The 21,361-nt window shown below is 55.2% G+C and overlaps 1 long non-coding RNA gene across 3 annotated transcripts in view, besides 4 other annotated features; it reads left to right on the plus strand.

Annotated features, from left to right (window-relative positions):
* Positions 2,020-2,912: an enhancer, noted in NCBI's record as "H3K27ac-H3K4me1 hESC enhancer chr14:104688883-104689775 (GRCh37/hg19 assembly coordinates)". NCBI's record gives its function as "activates a minimal SCP1, AML or CMV promoter by ChIP-STARR-seq in naive H9 embryonic stem cells {active_cell/tissue: H9 hESC(naive)}" and the evidence as "EXISTENCE:reporter gene assay evidence [ECO:0000049][PMID:30033119]".
* The window catches only part of LINC02691 (long intergenic non-protein coding RNA 2691), a 64,486-nt gene continuing 46,182 nt past the window's right edge, over positions 3,058-21,361 (plus strand). For all 3 annotated transcript variants that reach the window (NR_146612.1, NR_146613.1, NR_146611.1), the window contains exon 1: positions 3,058-3,290. This is a non-coding gene — a long non-coding RNA (long intergenic non-protein coding RNA 2691). The remainder of the gene's footprint in view (positions 3,291-21,361) is intronic.
* Positions 17,112-17,613: an enhancer, noted in NCBI's record as "H3K4me1 hESC enhancer chr14:104703975-104704476 (GRCh37/hg19 assembly coordinates)". NCBI's record gives its function as "activates a minimal SCP1, AML or CMV promoter by ChIP-STARR-seq in primed H9 embryonic stem cells {active_cell/tissue: H9 hESC(primed)}" and the evidence as "EXISTENCE:reporter gene assay evidence [ECO:0000049][PMID:30033119]".
* Positions 18,465-19,310: an enhancer, noted in NCBI's record as "H3K4me1 hESC enhancer chr14:104705328-104706173 (GRCh37/hg19 assembly coordinates)". NCBI's record gives its function as "activates a minimal SCP1, AML or CMV promoter by ChIP-STARR-seq in primed H9 embryonic stem cells {active_cell/tissue: H9 hESC(primed)}" and the evidence as "EXISTENCE:reporter gene assay evidence [ECO:0000049][PMID:30033119]".
* Positions 19,311-20,155: an enhancer, noted in NCBI's record as "H3K4me1 hESC enhancer chr14:104706174-104707018 (GRCh37/hg19 assembly coordinates)". NCBI's record gives its function as "activates a minimal SCP1, AML or CMV promoter by ChIP-STARR-seq in primed H9 embryonic stem cells {active_cell/tissue: H9 hESC(primed)}" and the evidence as "EXISTENCE:reporter gene assay evidence [ECO:0000049][PMID:30033119]".

Below are 21,361 nucleotides of genomic sequence, written 5' to 3' on the forward strand. Positions count from 1 at the left end.
CCAGGAAGGAGGTGGCTACTGAACTGATGACAGCTGGTCCCTCTGATATACGGAGGCTCTGGGCTTGGGGATTATTCCGCCTGTGGATTTATCGCCCTTCCGGAAGGCAGCCCAATGGGCCTGTGGGCTTGGCCTCAAGGAATGTTTGGCTTTGGGGTGAGAGGGCTTGGAGGGGGATGGGCTTGCTCCTTTGGGGGCCAGGCTCATTCCCTCGGAAGCAGGACAGCCCCGAGGCCTCCCCAGGGTCCTCTTCTGGGACAAGCTCCCTTTGTCTTTGAGGACATGGGAAGACCCCGAGAGGGAGCTGTCGTGGGCCGCCGACAAAAGCCCACTTTACACTCACCAGCTTGGCGGGAGCTCTGCGTGTGGTCCAAAGCCGTGTCCCCTCTGTGGCGGGCGGCATGGCGGGGGCAGCTGGGGCCCCTCTATCCTCCCGCGGCTGCACGTGCTTCCCTGCGAAAAGCAGGGTGAAGCGACGTCTCGGGGCCAGGACCCTGCTCTGTAGCGGGGCGGGGGGTCCTCCAGAGGGAGAGGAGGAAGGAAAGGGCGTTGGGCTGAGGGGATTGGAATCTGGGGTCACAGGGCTCTGCCAGGGCTCCTTTGCCAGCCACCTGCCCCGGCTGGGAACTCAGCCACCCTGTGTCTCTGTTCCCATCTGTATCTGGGGACTGCAGAAACTGCCTCCTAGGAAGTCAGGAACATGGGGCACACTGGGGGCCCTTTGAGTTCCCCTCTGCCCTGCTGGCTCTCGGCCCATCCTGACTCTCCCCACCGGAGCTCCTGGAGCCGACCCTGCATGGGCCCCACCCAACTCTCTCAGGCTCGGACCTGCTGGTGACTCTCCACGCTCAGGACCCACTGTCTCCGCAGGCCATCTGTGTACCCTGCATCCGCACAGGTGCCCTCCCCAGGTCCCCAGAACTCCTGCCTCTCAGGCCGGGCTGCCCCAGGGAAGGGAGCACAGCCAGGAACCCGGTCTGCAAATGAAACGCTGGTCAGAGCCTCCCCACCAGGCCACGTGGTGGGTGGCATGCAGGCTCCCTGGGCTCTTAGGCACCCCCGGTGGCATTGACAGCTGGGGAGAGAGGTGGTCTCAAGGACTATGGAGTCCTTCCTGAAAGTCTCTGCTCCTACGCAGCGGAAACGAGTGAGACTGGGAGTCAGCCCATGGCGAGGAGCTGGGGTGGGGGAACATGGGGACCCGAGACCCAGGCAAAGGCCACCAGTGCTCCCCAGGCGTGTAGCCTGAGCCTTTGGCCCCCAGAAGGGGGTGCGGTGGGGGCACCCCCTGGGCAAACCTGCAGCATAGAACAGCACAGAGGGCCGGGGCCCGGGTAGGTGGATGTGGAGAGGTGTTCCGGAGGGTCTCGGATGCTATGAAGAGATGAGAGGTGTTCAGACGCCATGAAGAGGGGGGATGCCGCCCTGTGGGTGGAGGGTGGTCTGGAAGGCCCCAGGCTGAGGGGCAGCCCTGGTGGGTGTGGGCTGGGGAAGCCTCCGGGCAGTGGCTGGCCTGGTGCCCTTGAGCTGCTCTACCCCTCATGGTACCAGGACCCTTGGCGCCCAGATGTGCTGGGAGCCTGCACCCTGCGGAGGGGGGCCAGGCCCCTCCTCCCCGCTTTGTCCTCTGCAGCCACCTTGGGCCGCCACCCTCTGACCTGCTGGGGGGTTGTCTCTGTGCGTCATCTGGGTGGCCTGAGCCCGGCTCTGATGACTTCACATGGAGCCACCTGCCAACAGAGACGCTGGCAAAGCAGCTGCTCTGGGACCTGACAGAAAAGATAAAAATGATGGAATGTTTGTTCTCTGACATGGAAAACCAGGCTCCCACATTTAGGGCAATTGGAGAAAGATCTTCCTGCTCACCTCGGAGCACAGGTGAAAGACCTGCTCTCTTGCACACCTGCTGCTCCCTGGGCCAGGCACAGCCGCCTCCCGTCTTCTGATGGTGCTGTGGCTGTGGCCTGGCTCTGCCTGCATGGAGCGTTGTGCCAGTTAGGGGGTCTCTATGGTGTCAGGGAGCTTCGGGCTCCCCTGGGCTCTGTGCACAGGCCTCTTGGTGGGGCTGGCAGGACAAAAGGAGAGGAAGAAATCGAAGTTAGTCTCAAACTGCTAGACCACAGATCCCATGGGCGGGTCATTCAATGTGGTGGGGGACAGTAGGTGGTGTGACCAAGGCCATCACACAGGGGCACCTGAGGGTGGGAACATGCGGCCAGCCTGTCCCTCAGGCCTGCCTGGGGTCCTCAACCCAGCATGGGTCAGGGAGTGCTGGCCTGCAGCCCAAGAGACGGGGACTCCACTCCTGGCCTTCTGCGTCTTTGCTTGGAAGGCTCTTATGGCTTTGTGGCCCATCCCCAAGTGCCAGCTCCTTGGGTACAGCCTCCTGTGTCAGGGTCAGTGCGGGGTCATGGCACAGGGCTGCCCTGAAGGGTGCAGAGGAGACCAAAGCCACAAGCTAGGTCTCTTGAGGGCAGCTGCCTCTCGGACCCTTCAAAATGGGTTGGGCCCTGACCCTGGTCTCGGACCAACCCTGCCCCTCCCTGCTGAGGTATAGATGGAGCTGTCAGGGACTTGGAGGCCAGCGTCTTCTCCCCCACTCCCCACTGTTGGAGGCCCCCAGCAGACTCCCTCAGTTTTCTTGCTAAGGCCTCTGCCACGCGGGGTGGTGGCTGTGCACCCTACGGCACGTGCCCTGTACAAGCCCCTCTGGGCCCCTGCTGTGGCCTTCACCGTTGGCCAAGTTCCCGCTCTGGGTCACTCTGCTGATGGCTGAGGGGGCAGGGTGTGAGGGCGTGGTCCACTCCCAGACTCCTACTCTCCCCAAAGCCCCTCCCCGACCCTGCCCTCCCGCCTCTGCAGGCAGCCTGCCGCCCCCGCCCCCACCCCAGCTGCCTCCTCCTTTCTCTGACAACCTCCTGCCTGGGGTGTCCTGGAACTGCGCCAGGGGGACCAGGTGACCTTGGACACGGCGTAGCTGCCTGGGCCACCCCCTTTCCTTGGTAATTTGCGCAGACTCCGGAGGGAGCATGAGCAGCTGAGTGCTGGGGGAGGGGCTTTCCTCTTCCTGTCTGTCATGTCCAGCCTGTGAAGAGCACGCTGGCTGAGCTGGCGAGAGGGGTGGGGGCGTCCTGGGGCTGCTTCTGCTCTGATGAAGGCACCCACTGTCACTGTCCCGGCCCTCGCTGAGTGTTCCCGGACCCGTGGGCCCGCGTCTGTGCCAGGCCTTGGGGAGCTCCAGCCTCGGAGCCTCTTCCCGTTCTCAGACCTCAGTGCGAGGAGGAAATCGGGTGAGTTGAGGTTAATGTTTCCATTAAACCTGGATGGATTTTCCCTGCGTGGAAGGAGCTGTTACGCGCCAGGGCTCTGAGCAGCATGGACGGGGCCCCAGCGCAGCCACGCTCCCGAACGAATGCCCTCCTGGGAGGGCCCGGCTGCCTGCCTGCCCCCTGTGCCTCTGCCGCCAGGCCTCGCCCTCCCTCCTCTCCTCTCTTGTGAATAAAGGGCCTCAACCCCACCTACCCGGTGTGCTGAGGGTCCTGCTATACTTAAACTGTAGTTAAAGCAAAAACAAACAAACAAAAACAAAAAAAACATGCAAAACCCCTGTGGCAACAGCTTGTCCCGTGGATATCATCTCCACTAATCCATGTCTCCTGCTCGGGGTCCTGCGGTTTCCAGGCCTGTATCTGCGGGTACTTATTTTCCATTTCCTCCCGAGAGTTTAGCCTGCTAATGAGATTTTGGTGTCTGGTATCTTGGCACATGTCTCCAAAGAGATTTATGGGGCTTCCCTCTCCTGGCCCCTCACTTGTCCTTGGCAGGAAGCTCAAGGGGTTCGATGTAATCTGCTCCAGGGCCCTGGGGAGGGGGCAGAATGTGCTGGAAGGCAGATCTGGGTGGGGTCTGCGGCCAGAAGCTGGATGTCTGCTCTGGAGGAGCCAGGCTGGTGGCGTGTAGTCTGTGGTGGCCCTGGGATAACCAGAGAGGGGTGTGGGTGGGGGGTCCCCTAGACCACCGGCCACCTCGGAGCCAGTCTACAGACTTGGTGTCTCCGCCAGCGCCAGTGATCTGAGCCGAGCGCCCCCTGCTGGTGTTTGGGCTTCCCAGTCCCACTTCACAGTGGGGGCTCCCGGCTCAGACCCACCCATCCATGCCACAGCACTCAGCCTCTGCTCAGGGGCTGGATCTGGCCGGGACCTTGGGTGCTCGGGGGCCCCATGCTCTCCAGGGACAGGGACCTTCGGCTCCACCTGCTGCCTCAGGTGGTCTCATCCATGTGGCTTCAGCCCATTTTCCAGGCAGGGGACAGAGCAGCAGTGACCACAGGGCTGTACAGACACCTGGGGCAGAAGGAGCTGTGGGCCCCTGCCTGGTCCAGAGGTTTCCAGGCCGCAAGCCTGTCCCTGGCTGCTGAACGCCGGCTGGGCTCGGCCTGGGTGGAGGAGAGGCCACAAGGCTTGGGTCAGGGAGGGCCTGACCTTGCTGTGACCTTGGGCACGTCTCCCTACTCTCAACAGAGTGGGGCTAAGAGCAGTGCTGTCGTTGGTGGGATGGAGGGAAGATGCCTCCCAGGGGGCGTTGCTGACCCATGGTGGGTAGATGCCCACCATCACCCCAGCTGCATTTCCTCCTGGGATCTGGAGACTGCTCAGAGTGAAGGTGGGTGTGACTCCCCGGGGCTGCTCGGAGTGAAGGTGGGTGTGGCTCCCTGGGGCTGCTCTGAGTGAAGGCAGGTGTGGCTCCCTGGGGCTGCTCTGAGTGAAGGCAGGTGTGGCTCCCTGGGGCAGCTCAGAGTGAAGGCGGTTGTGACTCCCCGGGGCTGCTCGGAGTGAAGGCGGTTGTGACTCCCGGGGGCAGCTCAGAGTGAAGGTGGGTGTGGCTCCCTGGGGCTGCTCTGAGTGAAAGCAGGTGTGGCTCCCTGGGGCTGCTCGGAGTGAAGGCAGGTGTGGCTCCCCGGGGCTGCTCTGAGTGAAGGCAGGTGTGACTCCCCGGGGCTGCTCTGAGTGAAGGCAGGTGTGGCTCCCTGGGGCTGCTCTGAGTGAAGGCAGGTGTGGCTCCCTGGGGCAGCTCAGAGTGAAGGCGGTTGTGACTCCCCGGGGCTGCTCGGAGTGAAGGCGGTTGTGACTCCCGGGGGCAGCTCAGAGTGAAGGCGGGTGTGGCTCCCTGGGGCTGCTCTGAGTGAAAGCAGGTGTGGCTCCCTGGGGCTGCTCGGAGTGAAGGCAGGTGTGGCTCCCCGGGGCTGCTCGGAGTGAAGGCAGGTGTGACTCCCCGGGGCAGCTCAGAGTGAAGGCAGGTGTGGCTCCCTGGGGCTGCTCTGAGTGAAGGCAGGTGTGGCTCCCGCGGGCTGCTCAGAGTGAAGGTGGGTGTGGCTCCCAGGGGCAGCTCAGAGTGAAGGCAGGTGTGGCTCCCGAGGGCTGCTCAGAGTGAAGGCGGGTGTGGCTCCCGCGGGCTGCTCAGAGTGAAGGTGGGTGTGGCTCCCAGGGGCAGCTCAGAGTGAAGGCAGGTGTGGCTCCCGCGGGCTGCTTAGAGTGAAGGCAGGTGTGGCTCCCTGGGGCTGCTCTGAGTGAAGGCAGGTGTGGCTCCCGGGGCTGCTCTGAGTGAAGGTGGGTGTGACTTGCTTCAGATCTCATTGACGTGGATCTTGGGCAAGTGGTTTTCACTCTCTGGAGCCAGTTTTCTTACCTGGGAATTGGGTTAAATCCCGGTGGCCTTGGGCTGTGGTGGAAGTTAGACAGGACAGCCACATGCCACACACCTGACAGCCTGACAGATGTGTCACTGATGGTCACTGGTGGGTTATGTGGGGCTACTCCTCTGCCTCTGACTCTAGGATCCCATTAGTTGTTTACCAAAGTAGCATGTCCACCAGGGTCCTTCTGGGTATACGGCTTGCTTCCAACTCTCTCACTGATATTTTAGGTCCGCTAACACTTGGAGAAATCTTTTGGTGTGAATTATTCTCAGCAGCTGCAGGGCACCCTGGTTCACTTTCCCGTTTCTCAAGCTCCAATGGTGCCCGACACTGTTTCCTGGGGAGGAAGCTGATGTGCCTTTAGGTGGACGCCTGTGTGAGGCTAGCCCGGGCCGAGCTGGAGCTACCAGCCTTCTGCGGGCATGCATGCCTGGCCTGCCTCAGCAAACACACGATAAATCCATTTCCCCAGGCCGCCTGCTCCCACTTCCCAGATAGCCGGGCTCATACTCACATTTATGTTTCATTTTGTCTGGCTAATATTGTCTTAGATAAATTAGGGGGAGCAGATTAGTGTTTGATTTAGTGGTAGGAACTCCGATGAGCCTAACGTTTCGTTTTAGTGGTGCCGGGGATGGGATGAGGGTCCCTGGTTCCTCATAGCCCTTGTGGTGGTGGCTCCTGAACCAGGAGGGGTCATTTGCATGGGCCCAGGCTCTCAGTGCAGACCCAGCAGGTCTCTCTGGCCGCTGGGACAGTGGTCAGATGAGGTGGCCCCTGTGGGGCCTGGGGGCACAGAGGTGCCACAGTGAGCCAGCCTGGCCCCTTGCTAGCAATAGGCTTGTGCTAGAAGAAAGACAGAACTGACCTGCAGGTGTCAGCAGCTGAGCCTCCTTGTCCTCCCTCCTCTGCACGCTTTCCTGTGCCTGTGTTATTAAGGGGGCCAGGCCAGGAAGTGCTAAATTAGTTATGAGATGCAGGGCTCCAGGGATTCAATGGGGTTGTGTCCTCGCTTCCTGTGCATTTCCTGTGTGCTGGGCATGGCCCAGAGAGACTCACAGACAGAGGCCTGCCCTGGAGACTCCCAGGCTGCAGTGGCCAGAGAAGGATCCCAGGGGTCTTATGCTTGTGCAACTTTGGGGGGTCTTCTTTAAGAAAGAAAATTTAAAAGTAGAAATATCTAATTGGTTCTAGGCCTTGCAAGAACCCGTGTCAGTGGGGGCTTTGCGGCTGAGCTTTCATTAGGGGCTGAATGAATTGCCCCATGTAGGGCCGTCAGCCTGATGAGACCATCACTGTCTCCAGGGATGGGGACTCACAGGTTAACAGTGACAGAAACTCTCACAGTAGCTGGGGCTGAAGGATTTGCTGGATGAGACCTGGGCATCCTGTGGAATCTAAGGATGGTTGAATCCCCAGGATGGGAGGCAGCTGGGATTTAGGGGCCACCAGGGCCAAGGCCCAGAGGTCTCCTTCCCAGGTCAGGCCTCAGCTCTCTCACTGGTTTGTTCCACGTGTGGCAAATGTGTGGCTGGAGGCTCCCCAATTTTGCACCTTACACCTCTGGCCACCAGAGATAAATTGACTTTTGTTTCCTAGTTCAAGTTCCAGTAACCCTGGAAAAGTGCTCTGATTGGCCCAGCCTGAATCAGGTGGCTCCCTTAGGATCACTCAGCTGGGGCCAGGGCAGTGGGGTCACAGTGCACTAACCTAGCAGGTTTGCAATAGCTGTGGGGTGGAGAACAGGAAGTAGTTCCTGGAAAGGGGTAAGTCATACTGATCTCCTTTCTGACTAAGCCAAGGCTACTGTGGGGGCTCAGAGGAAGGTGTGACTTAACTCTGCTTTGAGAACAATGGACAGTTTCGTAGAGGTTGGGCCATTTGGGCTGAGTCTTGCAGTATCAATAGGAATTCACTAGGCAGAGCTGGAGACTAAGGTGACTCTAGGGGGAGGCATGGAGAGGTAGAATTGCTTGGGAAGAGTAACTTGTTCAAGGTGATTGGAGCGTAGACTTTGGTGGTGGCAGGAGGGTGGAGTGAATGGGCAGGAAGCTGGGTACGAGGTGGAAAGGCCTTGGACTTGACTCTAGAAATACTAGGAAGCCACCAGAGGGCTTGAGCAGAGGTGACGTGACCAGATCCTTCCTGTGTTCCTGTGAGGATGGGTAGACAGGGCCCCCTGGGAGCTCACAGAGGTGGAGTACTTTGCCCAAGGTGGCGAGAGGGGACGCCCGCAGCCTGGGTCCCAGTGCAGCCCTTGTTCCCATGGGTCCAGATTCCTGAGCCTCACCCACCCCTCCCTCACCACTGCCACCTGGCCAGTAGCCACAGGTGGCTTCCAGAGCACTCTCTTACCGTCCCCCAGGGTTTTCTGGGTACTGACCTTCTCTCTCTCACTTGGGATACCCACCCCTATCAGGGAAATCAGGGGAGGCACTATTGTCTCCTTTACAGAGGAGTAAACTGAGGCTGGGTTAACATTACTTGTTCAAGTCACTCAGCTAAGACGGGCAGTGCTGGGATTTGAACCCAGCTCTGCCTGGCTTCTGAGCCTGAGCTGACTTCAGTGCCCGGCCCCCAGATCTGCACACCAGTGTGCCCCAACTGCCTGGTGAGTGGCCAGGCCAGAGGGAAGCAGGGAGCAGGGTGGGCCCAAGGCGAGGCTCAGCGAGAAGGCAGGAGCAGTAGCCGTGGGGCAGCACTTGGGGTATGTGGGCCATGGGGAAATGGGCACCAGGGGTAGAGCCCCTTTGGGGGGCTGTGGAGGGGGAGCAGCGGGGAGTGCAAGGGGATGTGACACAAGCCCCTTCTGAGGGAGGACTTGGTGGCCGGTTGCTCTTGAGTGGTGCCTGCCTCAAGGCCTGGGCTGTGTCCTGCCCTCCTGCTGCCCCGGCCACCTCTGACAGACCCTGCTAACTGTGGTCAGCCTGGCAGGGCTGGCATGGCAGAGCAGGCCTGTGGTGCCACCCTGACCTGGCCACTGTGGTCCTTATCCTGGGTCAGGAGCCGTCCCCGCCCCAGGCCCATGTTTTCCATCTGCCGGGGACCCTGCCCAGGAGGGGCACATGTAATGCTAGCCTCGTTGTGCAGGGCGGCTCCTGGCTGAGGCCTTGACTGAACTTGCATCTACATTTAGACTGAAATGCACCGAGAGGCTGGGCCTGCTGTGTCCCAGGGGCTGCGGACGGGGTGTCCATCCTGCCTGGGTAGGATGCATCTGCAGGGTGCCTCCCACCACACGCTAAAGTGGGGTCATCACCCCTGGGTGGCCTGGGTCACCAAGATGCTACCCCACCCAGCCTGATGGGATGCCTGAGCTCCAAGCCTGCCCCCTCACAGGGGAGATGATGGCCCCACGAAGGCCCCCCTGGGTGCTTGTGGTGGCCGCTCACTCAGTCTCTCTCTCTCCAAAGCGGCCTGCCCGTCCGCGAAGTCACTTAGCTGGGATCTAATCGGGTTTCACAGGGGCATAAATTACTTGGCTAGAGGTTGTTCCCGGGTGTTTCCACCCCGGGCCTGTTATTTACACACCGTGCGGTAATGTAGTCACGGCCTTGGGTGCGCAGTATTTATGGTGTTTGATCGGCTTCCAGCCCAGGCCGCCTGTCCAGGAACATTTGTTGAGATGTTGTGCAGAGCCGCTGGGGACCTCTGCCACAGGCGGGCATCAATCTACCTGGAGCTCCTGCGGCAGCCCTGCAGAGCCTCAAAAGGGCAGGGCGGGCCTGTGGTGCCACCCTGAGCTGGTCACTGTCTGCAGATGGCAGCTCTAGGAGTGATGGCTGAGGACGAACAAGGGTGCGAACTGTCACTGACATTTCCGTGGGGCGTGGACGTGACACATCCCGAATGCCATACCTGGCTGTGGACAGTCGCACCGTTAAAGGCAGCAGCGCTAACTGCCGTTCACGGAGCACCCACTGTCTGCTAAGCTCAGTGGAAGATCCTTTGTTTTATTCTCTCCGTGAGTGCTTGTCGCAGCCCTGCAAGGTAGGTGTCCCTGATGGGAAACTGAGGCTCAGTCACTGCAGGTGACTTCCCAAAGGAACACAGCCTGGGAGCTCCATGTGGCAGCTTCCTCTGGCTCTTACAAGGGGAAGGATGAGCTCCCGTTGGTTGCTGGGGTCCCGCCCCTTTGCCTTCATGTCTGTGATGGTGGAAATGCTTCATAAGGAGTGTAAAGTGGTTTTTGTTCCCGACCCAGAGAGATCTGGTCACGGTAATTCTGTATCTGCTTGCCTATATTTATCCCCCAAGTCCGGCTGGTGACAGGGAAGCAGATGATCAGTGCCAGGCCTGATAAATTGGACCCAGGGCTGAGGCGGGAGAGAAACCCTGTTTTATTGTTGAAGACAAAGCCGTCGGGCAGGAGGCATATGTTGTGTTGGAGCCCTCGCTGCGACGGAGGCCCTGGGCCTCAGAGCAATCAGGGCTTTCACGAGCACCCCCCACCCACTACCTACGTGGGAGGCAAGGACCCCCATTAGCCCGGCTGGCTGTGGGGGAGGGGCTGACAGAATGTCAGTGGGGTGGAGGGGAGAGGAGGTGATCAATGAGGACTTATTGACTTGCATCTTTCCCCACGACTTGATTAAGACCACTATGGAGATGAGGCCTGAGGAGGGGGCTAGGGCCAGAGCCCCGGGCCAGTGTGGCTTAGGGGATCTTTTATGTTTGGAGGGCAGGAAGGGAACAGAGAGCTGCCGGCTTTGTCAGATGCCTGAAGAGTATTGATCCATATTAGAAATGATAATGAGCCAATTCTGCTGGGCTGGGAGGCCTTAACCATTTCATTGCTTACAAGGCTGTCCTGGTGGGGATGTTGGAGGAGGCTCAGCCTCTAGCTGCTCCTCACCATGTTTCTCCTCGCTCAGGTCTGCAGCTTCCCAGGCCACGACCTGAGTCCACTGATGGTCCTGGAGGTCTGGCCAGAGGGGCAAGGGCAGCAAAGGAGAGGAGCACAGGACTGGGAGCTGGAGCCTGGTTCTGGGATTGGCTAGACCCTGCGGGGTTTGCCAAGCACCTGGTGGGTGCCTGACATTCTGTGCATCTCCTCGGGCACCTCTAAGGTGGTCAGGATGACCCTTACTGCTATAATGACAGATGAGATGAAGGCATGGAGGCTCATAGTTGCCAAGAGGCCAGGCCTCTGCCTGCCCCTCCAGCACTCTGGGACGTGATGCTGCCCCTCAGACCTGCCACTTGCTGATGGAGCTTTGACTTTTGTTGAGTCATTTACCCCATCTGGGACCCACTTTCCTCATCTGTAAAATGACAACCACAGCAGGCTTGCTGAGATAATTCAGAGAACAATGACAAGGGCTCATACAGTCCAGCCCTGCACCAGCACTTGGTGGTGGGGCCTGGCCTGAGCCTAAAGCTTGACTCTAGCTCTGTGTCCACTTTAGTGAACATTTAAAGTTGAGGAGTCTGAGTTTGCTCCTCCATGGAGGGAGGACATGCCATTCATCTTTCTAAATGGTTGTGAGAATCAAATGAGTCTATGCATGGGGAGTACCTAACATGTAGTTGGTGGTTAACAGAAGATGGCTGTCATCATTGTCATTGTCACCATCACCATAATCATCATATCACCATCACAACACCCTCACCACCATCATCATTACCATCATGATCATCACTGTCACATCATCACCATCATTACCATCATCATTACCATCACCATAACACTCCATCAACATCACCACCATCATCACCATCGCCATTACACTCCATCATCAACATCACCACCATCACCATCACCACCACCATCATCACCATCACCATTACACTCCATCAACATCATCAACACCATCATCATCACCATGACCATCACCCCATCATCATCATCACCATCATCACCGTCACCGTCATCATCACCATCACCATTACACTCCGTCATCACCACCACCATCATCATCACCATCACCATTACACTCCATCATCACCACCATCATTACCATCACCATCATCACCATCATCATCATAATCAATATTATCACCATCACATCACTCTCACCACCATCATCACCATTACCATCATCACCACCATCACCATCATCATCACTATTGCATCATCGTCACCACCACCATCCTTACCATTACACACCACCATGAGCATATCACCACCATCATTACCATCATCTTCATCACCATTATCATCACCATCACATCATCATCATTATAGCTATACCATCACTGTCATCAGCATTACTATCACATCATCATCACCATCATTGCCATCATCATCACCATCATCATTGCCATCATTATCATCACCATCATCACCATCACTATCATATCACCATCATTATAATCACTATCACTGTCATCATCATCGTTATCACCATCACATCATTACCATCACATCACCATCATCACCATCATCATCATGGTCATTGTCATCATTATTATCATCCCTGTCATTGTCATCATCTCTTCATTATCATCAACTTGGCAGAGATTGTGGTTTTGTTCCCATCCCAGAGAGATCTGAAGATGCTAATTCCATCCTTGCCTCTATTTATCCCCCAAGTCCGGCCTGCAAGGGAGGCTGCTAATCTGGCTGCTGAGTATGCCAGATCCATGGGATCCAGGGATCAAGTGGCTCAACCCCCTGGGATCCATGCACTGGCATTTGTCTGTGGAGTCCAGTGGTAGGTCTTCCCACTACCAGGACACCAGGCTGGGTAGGCAGGCAGCATGGGGAAAGCTTGAGGGTCAAGGCTGTGAAGCTGTGGTGACTGATGTGGGGTCTGCTGATGGGGAGGGGGTGCTTGTGCAGGTGGTATGGGGCTTACTCTACTGCTGCTCCCCAGGAGTAGGAGGAGGGGCTCCAGCTTAGGATGACATATTTGGCTGCTTTCTACACAAAGAAGATGCCTTTGTTCAAGCTCAGGCTGGTGCTGGAGAGAGCATCATCCTGACCTGGGCACAGCTAGGGAACATCTCTTCTGGGGTATCATCTTATGAACCATTAGAGGCTTTGGCTTGGGCAGAACTGGGTTTTAGTTCCATCCTGACCCTGACTTGCTGATATGGTTTGGCTGTGTCCCCACCCAAGTCTCATCTTGAATTGTAGTTCCCATAATCCCCACACGGGAGGTAATTGAATCATAGGGGTGATGATTTTATAAGGGTCTTCCCCCCTTTTCTTGGCTCTCATTATCTCTCCTGCTGCCCTATGAAGAGGTGCCTTTTGCCATAATTATAAGTTTCCTGAGGGCTCCCCAGCCCTGCAGAACTGTGAGTCCATTAAACCTCTTTCTTTTATAAGTTACCCAGTCTTGGGCAGTTCTTTATAGCAGTATGAGAATGGACTAATACAATAAATTTGTAGCAAGAGTGGGGTGCTGCTATAAAGATATCCAAAAATGTGGTAACAGGCAGAACTGGGTAACAGGCAGAGGTTGGAACAGTTTGGAGGTCTCAGAAGAAGACAGGAAGATGTGGGAAAGTTTAGAACTTCCTAGAGACTTGTTGAATGGCTTTGACCAAGTTGCTAATAGTGATATGGACAATAAAGTCCAGATGATGGTCTCAGATGGAGACGAGAAACTTGTTGGTAACTGGAGTAAAAGTCACTCTTGCTATGTTTTAGCAAAGAAACTGGAAGCTTTTTGCTCCTGCCCTAGAGATCTGTGGAACTTTGAACTTGAGAGAGATGATTTAGGGTATCTGACAGAAGAAATTTCTAAGCAACAAAGCATTCGAGAGGTGACAGAGCATAAAAGTTTGGAAAATTTGCAGCCTGATGATGCAGCAGAAAAGAAAAACCCATGTTCTGGGGAGAAATTCAAGCTGCAGAAATTTACATAAGTAATGAGGAGCCAAATGTTAATCACAAAGACAATGGGGAAAATGTCTCCAGGTCATGTCAGAAGTCTTCACAGCAGCCCCTCCCATCACAGGCCTGGAGGCTTTGGAGGAAAAAATGGTCTTTTTGGCCAGGTGCAGGGCCTTGCTGCTTCATGTAGTTTTGGGACTTGATGCCCTGCATTCCAGCCATGGCTAAAAGGGGACAACATACAGCTCAGGCTGTTGCTTCAGAGGGTGCAAGCTCCAAGCCTTGGCAGCTTCCGTGTGGTGTTGAGCCTGCAGGTGCACAAAAGTCAATAATTGAGGTTTGGGAACCTCTGCCTAGATTTCAGAGGATGTATGGAAATGCCTGAATGTCCAGACATAAGTCTGTTGCAGGGGTGGAGCCCTTGCAGAGAACCTCTGCTAGGGCAGTGTGGAAGGGAAATGTGGGGTTGGAGCCCTCACACAGAGTCCCCACTGGGGCACTGCCCAGTGGAGCTGTGAGAAGAGGACCACTGTCCTCCAGACCCCAGAATGGTAGATCCACCAACAGCTCAGCTTGCACTGTGCCTGGAAAAGCTGCACAGCCCATGAAAGCAGCCAGTATGGGGGCTGTACCCTGCAAAGCAGCAGAGGTGGAGCTGCTCAAGGCTGTGGGAGCCCACTTCTTGCATCAGCGTGACCTGGATGTGAGACGTAGAGTCAAAGGAGACTGTTTTGGAACTTTAAGATTTAATGACTGCCCTATTGGATTTCAGACTTCATGGGGCCTGTAGTCCCTTCCTTTTGGCCAATTTCTCCCATTTGGAATGGGTGTATTTACCCAATGCCTGTAGCCCCATTGTATTTAGGAAGTAACTAACTTGCTTTTCATTTTACAGGCTAACAGGTAGAAGGGACTTGCCTTGTCTCAGATGAGACTTTGGACTTGGACTTTTGGGTTAATGCTGGAATGAGCTAAGACTTTGGGGGACTGTTGAGAAGGCATGATTGCTTTTTAAATGTGAGGACATGAGTTTTGGAAGGGGCCAGGGCAGAATGATATGGTTTGGCTGTGTCCCCACCCAAATCTCACCTTGAATTATATTTCCCATAATCCCCACATGTTGTGAGAAGGACCTGGTGGGAGGTAATTGAATCATGGGGGTGATGGTTTTATAAGGGGATTTTCCCCCCTTTGCTCAGCATTCATTCTCTCTCCTTCCACCCTGTGAAGAGGTGCCTTCCACCATGATTGTAAATTTCCTGAGGCCTCCCCAGCCCTGTGGAACTGCAAGTCAATTAAACCTCTATAAATTACCCAGTCTTGGGTATTTCTTAATAGCAACGTGAGAGTGGACTAATACACTTGCCCTCACTCCACATCTTGCCATTCAGCAAGTCCCTAGGATGTCGACACAGCACTGCACCTTCTCTGTTGCAGGGCCTGCCCTCCCTTCCTGCCTGCCTGCCTGCCTGCCTGCCTGCCTGCCTGCCTTCCTTCCTTCCTTCCTTCCTTCCTTCCTTCCTTCCTTCCTTCCTTCCTTCCTTCCTTCCTTCCTTCTTTCCTCTTTCTGTGTTAGGTTTGCAGCTCCTGTTAGCCCTTAAGTGGAGACATTGAATGGAAGGTGGATTTCTCAAGTCTGAAGCTCAGGGAGAGGCCCTTGCTAGAGGTGTGTACTTTTAGAGTCCTCAGTATGCAGCTGAAGTTTGAGCCACAGTCTTGGTGAGACCTCAAGGGAGGATGTAGACAGACAGGCGAGGAAGCCAAGTCTAGGAGCTGGAAGGAGATGAGAGGGCAACAAAAGGCCTCAGAAAGAGTGGCTGCTGAGGTGGGGGTGAGCCAGGTGAGTGTGGGGGACACCTGCAGGAGGTGGTGCTGCAAGGAGAAGAGACCACCCACGTCACAGGCTACCCATGTCACAGGCTGTGAGAGATCAGGAGGGTGGGGCCTAAGACTGCTGGCTGGCTTGGTGGCCCTCACTGATGTGAGCCACTGGGGTCTTGGTGACCAGTGGGGTGGGGCAGGGAGGAAACAGGCTGGTGACAGTGGCTGAAGGACATGGGAGGAGTAGCTGGGACTGCGATGATGGACCATTCTTTCCAGAAGAAGAGCAAAGAAATGCGGGTAGTAGCTGAAGAGAGATGTGGGTGAGGAAGAATAGCATAAAGAAACAACTGGACATCAATAGTGGGAACAAGTAGAGGGGGAGAAACTGAAGTGCAGGAGAGGGAGGCTAATTGCTGGAGGAATAAGTGGGTTTTCCCTTCTCTTGTTTCTTCTCAAAATGTTCTTTTCACTCTTGGTTTTCAGTCTTTTGACTATAATGAGCTCAGTTGTGTGTGTGTGTGTGTGTGTGTGTGTGTGTGTTTATATATTCATTCTTTTTGGGGTTTGCTGATATTCTAGGATCTGTAACTGACATTTTCTTCAATACTTTGAAAAATACTTGGCCATCATATCTCTGAATATTTTTTTCTGCTCTTTTACATTCTCTTTTCTTTTTTGATTCCGCTAACACATATCCCAGGCCATCTGAGACCACTGAGGCACTGTTCTGAAGTGTAGGTTTTGTAATTATTCAGATACAACAAGGGCAATAGACCAGGGGATGACCGCCATTGAAATGGTTTGTTACTCACAGCTCCCAAGAGGAGGGGTCATGCCACACCATGCAGGGCCACACAGGGCAGCACCAGGAGTGGCCAAGGGGGAAGAAGGAGTGACGGAAAAGCACGGGAAGGTCCGGCCAGGCAAGCAGGCTGACGATTGGCTCATTTCAGTCATTTTGGTGGGCTCTGGGGTACAGGTGCTGTCTCTAGTGGTCTGGTACCTGCCCTGGGGTAATCAGGGTGGGACTTGTGGCCACCCTGCTGAGTGTGAAAGCCCATAGAGGAGGTGGCATGGGTGCAGGTTCTGGATTAGCTGGTTTGCGTATGGAAGTTGTGCCCCAGTGTTTACACTCTCTAGGAACTGACTAGGCCTGGGAGGTGGCGGAGAGCAGTTTCTCCAGGGTCAGCAGGGTCCTGGGTGTCAAAAAGATATGTTTAACACACTTATTTTTCATGTTCTAGAAATCTTCAATCTCTTTGTTCTTCAGATGACATAGAAATTTCTGTCTTTAAGCTTGCTGACTCTCCTATCTCCAATCTGTTGTTAAACCTATCCAGTGTTTTAAAAAAAATTCAGCTATTATATTTTTCAGCTCTGGAATTACCCTTTAAACCTGGGACGTATTTATAATTGCTGACATAAAGCAATTTTTCTGTTTCTTTGTTTGGCTAGTCATTTTTTATTGTAAATTAGACATTGTAAATGGTACCTTGTGGAAACTCTGGATTCTGTTATCTTCCTCTGAGAAGTGCTGATTTTTGTCCCAGTAGCCTGTGCAGATCTCGATTTTATGCTTTGTTGAAACAGGTCCTGGAGGCCCATGGCGTTTACCCAGCCTCTACCTTGGTGACGCAAAGTCCCCACACTCTGTCTCCCCTGTGGACCTGGGGGCTCAGTGTTGGCGTTTTGAGGATGTGTCTGGAGCAGGGCTCTGAGCATGGTTGTGTCTCAGCTGCCTGCTCCACCTGCCAAGCTCGCCTCCTGACTTGGGTTGGTCCTGAGCCCCACCACCTTCCAGTGCTGCTAACTGCTACGCTCTCTGTCCTGCCTTTGCCCTGGAGAAGGGCACTTGGTCCTGCCCTCTGAATGCAAGGCCCCACCAGGGACCGTGAACCCTACACTCCCCTCCGGACCCTCTCTCTGGAATCCTGCCCCCCACAGTCCTGTCCCCTCAGTGCCTGAGCTCTGGTTTCTGCCTCCTGGGCTCAGCTTGCTGCCACACCCTGCCTGGGCTCCACTCCTGCATGAGTGGTGGGGAAATTGTCCTGGGTGGAGGGCTGGGCCAACGTGGCGCTCATCTCACAGGCTTTCCTTTTCTCCAGGATCACAGTCACATGCTGCCTGCACCAACACCCGAAGACCATCACCTAGTATATTCCCCCAGCGCTGGGGTTGCTTATGGTGGGAGGAAATGCACGGGCGGCAGAGGGCAAGGGCGTGGTCATTCTGATAGACCACGGGTGCCGAGGTGGGCACAGGAGGAAGGGCGGGCAGGAGAGGAAGTGTAAAGTGTCACTGGCTCAATGAGGACACGCGGTCCTGGTCGGGAGGAAGGCTGGGGGCTGGAAGTTGCGGAGGGTGGGAGTGCGGAGCATGGCAGGGCAGCGGCCGTGGAGCGGATGCTGGAGGTGGGTTTGTGGGTGATGACAGCCCAGGCTGCAGCCTCAGGAGGAGAGGACGGTCACTGGGTCAGGGGGCAGATGGACTGGCCGTCCCATGATGCTCAGAGGCTGTGAGTACGTTGGCTGGCTGGGGTTGCCATAGCCAGTACCACAGACCGGTGGGGCAAAAGCAGAAATGAACTTTCTCACGATGTTGGAGGCCGGAACTCTGAGGCCCTGGAATTGCAGGGCTGGTTTCCTCTCTGGCCCCGTCCTGGGCTTACAGATGCCACCTCCTCCCTGTTCCTCCGGGTGGTGTGCCTATGTCCTAATCTACTATCAGGACACCCCTCGGATGCAAACAGGGCCACCCTCATGACCTCCCTTTAATGGAATCAGCTCTTTAAAGAGCCTATCCCCAAATACAGTCCCATTCTGAGGTCCTGGAGTTTAGGGCTCTGATATCTGAATTTTGGGAGGTGGATACCATCCTGTCCCTCCCAGCGAGTGGCCCAAAGCTGAAGCCATTGATGAGTGACTGACAAGCAGCAGCCATGGCGGAGGGACCAATCCTGAGCTGGAGTTGGGGCTGTGGGGGCCTGAAGGACTGTAGGGGTTCTGGGGAGAGCCAGATGTCAGCTGTAGCGAGAAGAGAAAGACTGCCAGACGTGCGGCTGAGGAGGAGCCAGGCTACGCCTGCCCTCAGGCCCCCGAGAGTGTGGAGGCCCCTGGCCATGCACCGGAGGAGCCTCTGATGGATGCTTCATAAGAGTGGTGCCCACACTGCAGCCACCTCCGCTGCCAGGGACCCCTCCGGTGAACACGTTGGCTCCTCCTCAGGGAAGGGGCAAGTTTCGTGGCTTGACCGGAGGGCCCTAGGTGAGCAGTGCCGCGTTGTCTTTGGAGGAGGTTTCTCCTTTGGCCTCGGTTTGTCCTCTGTGTCATGGGGGTGATTGTCCCTGAACTTTCTGGCTGCTCAGGGCTGGATTTAGGCTCTGGGGAGGCCATGGGGGTGTTTCTTGAAGACCGAAGCCATGCTCGAGGCTGTGACTCCTGCGAGACAGGGCCTGAGGGGAAGCCCCGGGGTGAGTGGGTCTGTTTGAGGCTGGCTGGGTGTATGGGCCACTGTCTCAATCCCTTTGGCTCAAGCTGGTGATCATGAAGTGACCTCCCATGCCTAACTTATTTTGGATGGGTCTGAAGGCCACAGCACAAGCATCAGGGTGCTGGAGGCACTGCCAGGAGGGGTGGGAGAACAAGGCTGCCCTGGGAGTCCTGGAGAGGGGCCCCAAACATGGGTGGAGGTGGCCTCTGGGCTGGCCCTGAAGGCTGCAGGGGTGGGGGTGTAGTTGGCCTATGCCCTGTGGGGGAGGGAGCTGGTGAGTCCTGGGCCAGGGCAGGGCAGGGGGCAGAGCTATGAGAAAGGACGGCAGAAGGGGTGTGAAGAGAAAGTGAGGGGCTCAGGTGCCAAGGCCTTGGAGGTGGTGGGGCTGGGGGCAGGCGCTGCAGTTCTCAGCATGAGACGGGGGGCAGCAAGGACCCCACCTGCGCTGGCAGGCCCTGCTGCCCCTCTAGCCAGGAGGAGAATGCTTTTTCATAGGGGGAGGAAGGAGAAAAATGACTTCGGGCTCCTGGCAACTTCAGCAATCAGCTCCTTGTCAAGCAAATAAAATGCTTTTGAATGTCCAGATTAATGATTGATCAGCACAACGCGAGCCTGTTGGAAGCTTCCAGTTGGCCCACGTGGGGGTCCCCGCTGCAGGCGCTGGTAAAGTGACACCCCGTTAGTCACTTCTCTGCGTGTGCTTGGGAGAAGCCCACACACACATGCTGGTGCCTGACGTGGGGTTATTTCTGTGCTGAGGAGGCAGGAAACGGCAGAGGAGGCAGCTTCCAGGGCAGGGAGCACTGGGGCGGCCTGGCCCAGGAGGGTGCTTCATGGCCATGGGACAAGGCCCACACCAGGCCCTGGTGACGCTGGGCGAGAGCCTCTGTGTGGGCGAGGAGGCTGGGGCTGGCCGGTCCACTCGCCCAGAAATGCCAGAGGTGCCCAATGCCATGCGGCCTGGGGGATGCTTGGACCCGGAGTGATGACAGTGGCTGGTCATTTGCACCTTGAATTAAGCAGAATAAATCAAATAAGAGAACAAAGCCGATTCTTGTTTTGATGCTTATTTTATTTTTGAATGCAACACCCATATAGAAAAGGACATGCATCATAAATGTACAACAGGATGTGTAACTTCAGAGCCCGCATCTGTGTGACTGCCATCCAGATCACCCGGTAGAGTTCCCCAGCCTCATTCCCCTCCCCCTGCACCCTTCCAGCAGAGCCCCTGCACCTGCGGTCACTCTTGCCTCCTCCTTATATGGGCAACACTTCTGTCCTAGCAACCCTAAACAAGCTGGTGTGGCTTTCCCCGTCGGGGCCAGGGTGGGGGTTTATGTAAATAGAATAAAGCTAGGTGATTGCTTTGTTCCTTGTTTCTTTCACCTGCTGTTTTGTCTGATGTGCAGCCAACCTTGATAACATTGCATCTTCCTGTATAGGGGTGTGAAATAATCTCAGTGTGTTGAGTTCTTGGTTTCTCTAGCTATAGTCCGTTGGCTTCCATGGCTCCACCATGTTCCATCATGCGAACATACAACAGGCTTCTCATCCATTCTGCTGTTGATGAACACTTGGGTGGTATCTGAATTGGCTGAGTGGCCCATGCTACTGTGAACACTCTCGCCCATGTGCCCACTTGTCCTAGGGTCCCTCCCCAGGAGTGGAATTGCCAGGTCATGAGATGTGCGCCTCTTCAACCCTTTTAGATAATGCCAATCTGTTATTGTTTCTAATTAATAGACTATTTTTTTAGTCTGGACGCGGTGGCTCACGCCTGTAATCTCAGCACTTTGAGACACCAAGCTGGGCAGATCACCTGGGGTCAGGAGTTCAAGACCAGCCTGGCCAACATGGCGAAACCCAATCTCTACTAAAAACAAAACAAAAATTAGCTGGGCATAGTGGCACATGCCTGTAATCCCAGCTACTTGGGAGGCTGAGGCAGGAGAATAGCTTGAACCTGGGAGGTGGAGGTTGCAGTGAGCCAAGATTGCGCCACTGCACTCCAGCCTGGGTGACAGAGTGAGACTCCATCTCAAAAAAAAAAAAAAAAAAAAAAGAAAAGAAAAAAAGACTATTTTTTGAGCAGTTATAGGTTTACAAAAAAAAAAAAAATTCTTCCTTGAGGGTATCCGGGCAGCTCTAGGCTCTTTATGCTACTATTCACATTATACAGTCAGTTTGTTAAGCTTCCCATAGACACAGAACCAAGTGCTGTTGGGGTTTTGGGTGGAATATTATTGAACCAAAGCAATTCAGGAAGAACTGGCATCTTCACAGGTTGTATCTTCCAATACAGGAGCATGTTTTATCTTGTTATTTGGTGTTCCTTATTTCTGTCAATACAATTTTTAGTCTCAGATAAATTTGTTAGATATATTCCTAGATGCCCAATATTCTTTGATGCTTTTAAATTACATTTTTTTACTTGTTTGTTGATGTAGAAATACAATTTGAATTTGTTTTTCCTGTTTTTGTTTGTTTGTTTGGTTGGTTTTGTCTCCTGTTGCATTTTGGACACTGTCTTTAGATTGGTTTTCTAGTTTATTCATCTTTCTTTA

Source organism: Homo sapiens, chromosome 14 (genome assembly GCF_000001405.40).
Source record: "Homo sapiens chromosome 14, GRCh38.p14 Primary Assembly".
Lineage (NCBI taxonomy): Eukaryota > Metazoa > Chordata > Mammalia > Primates > Hominidae > Homo > Homo sapiens.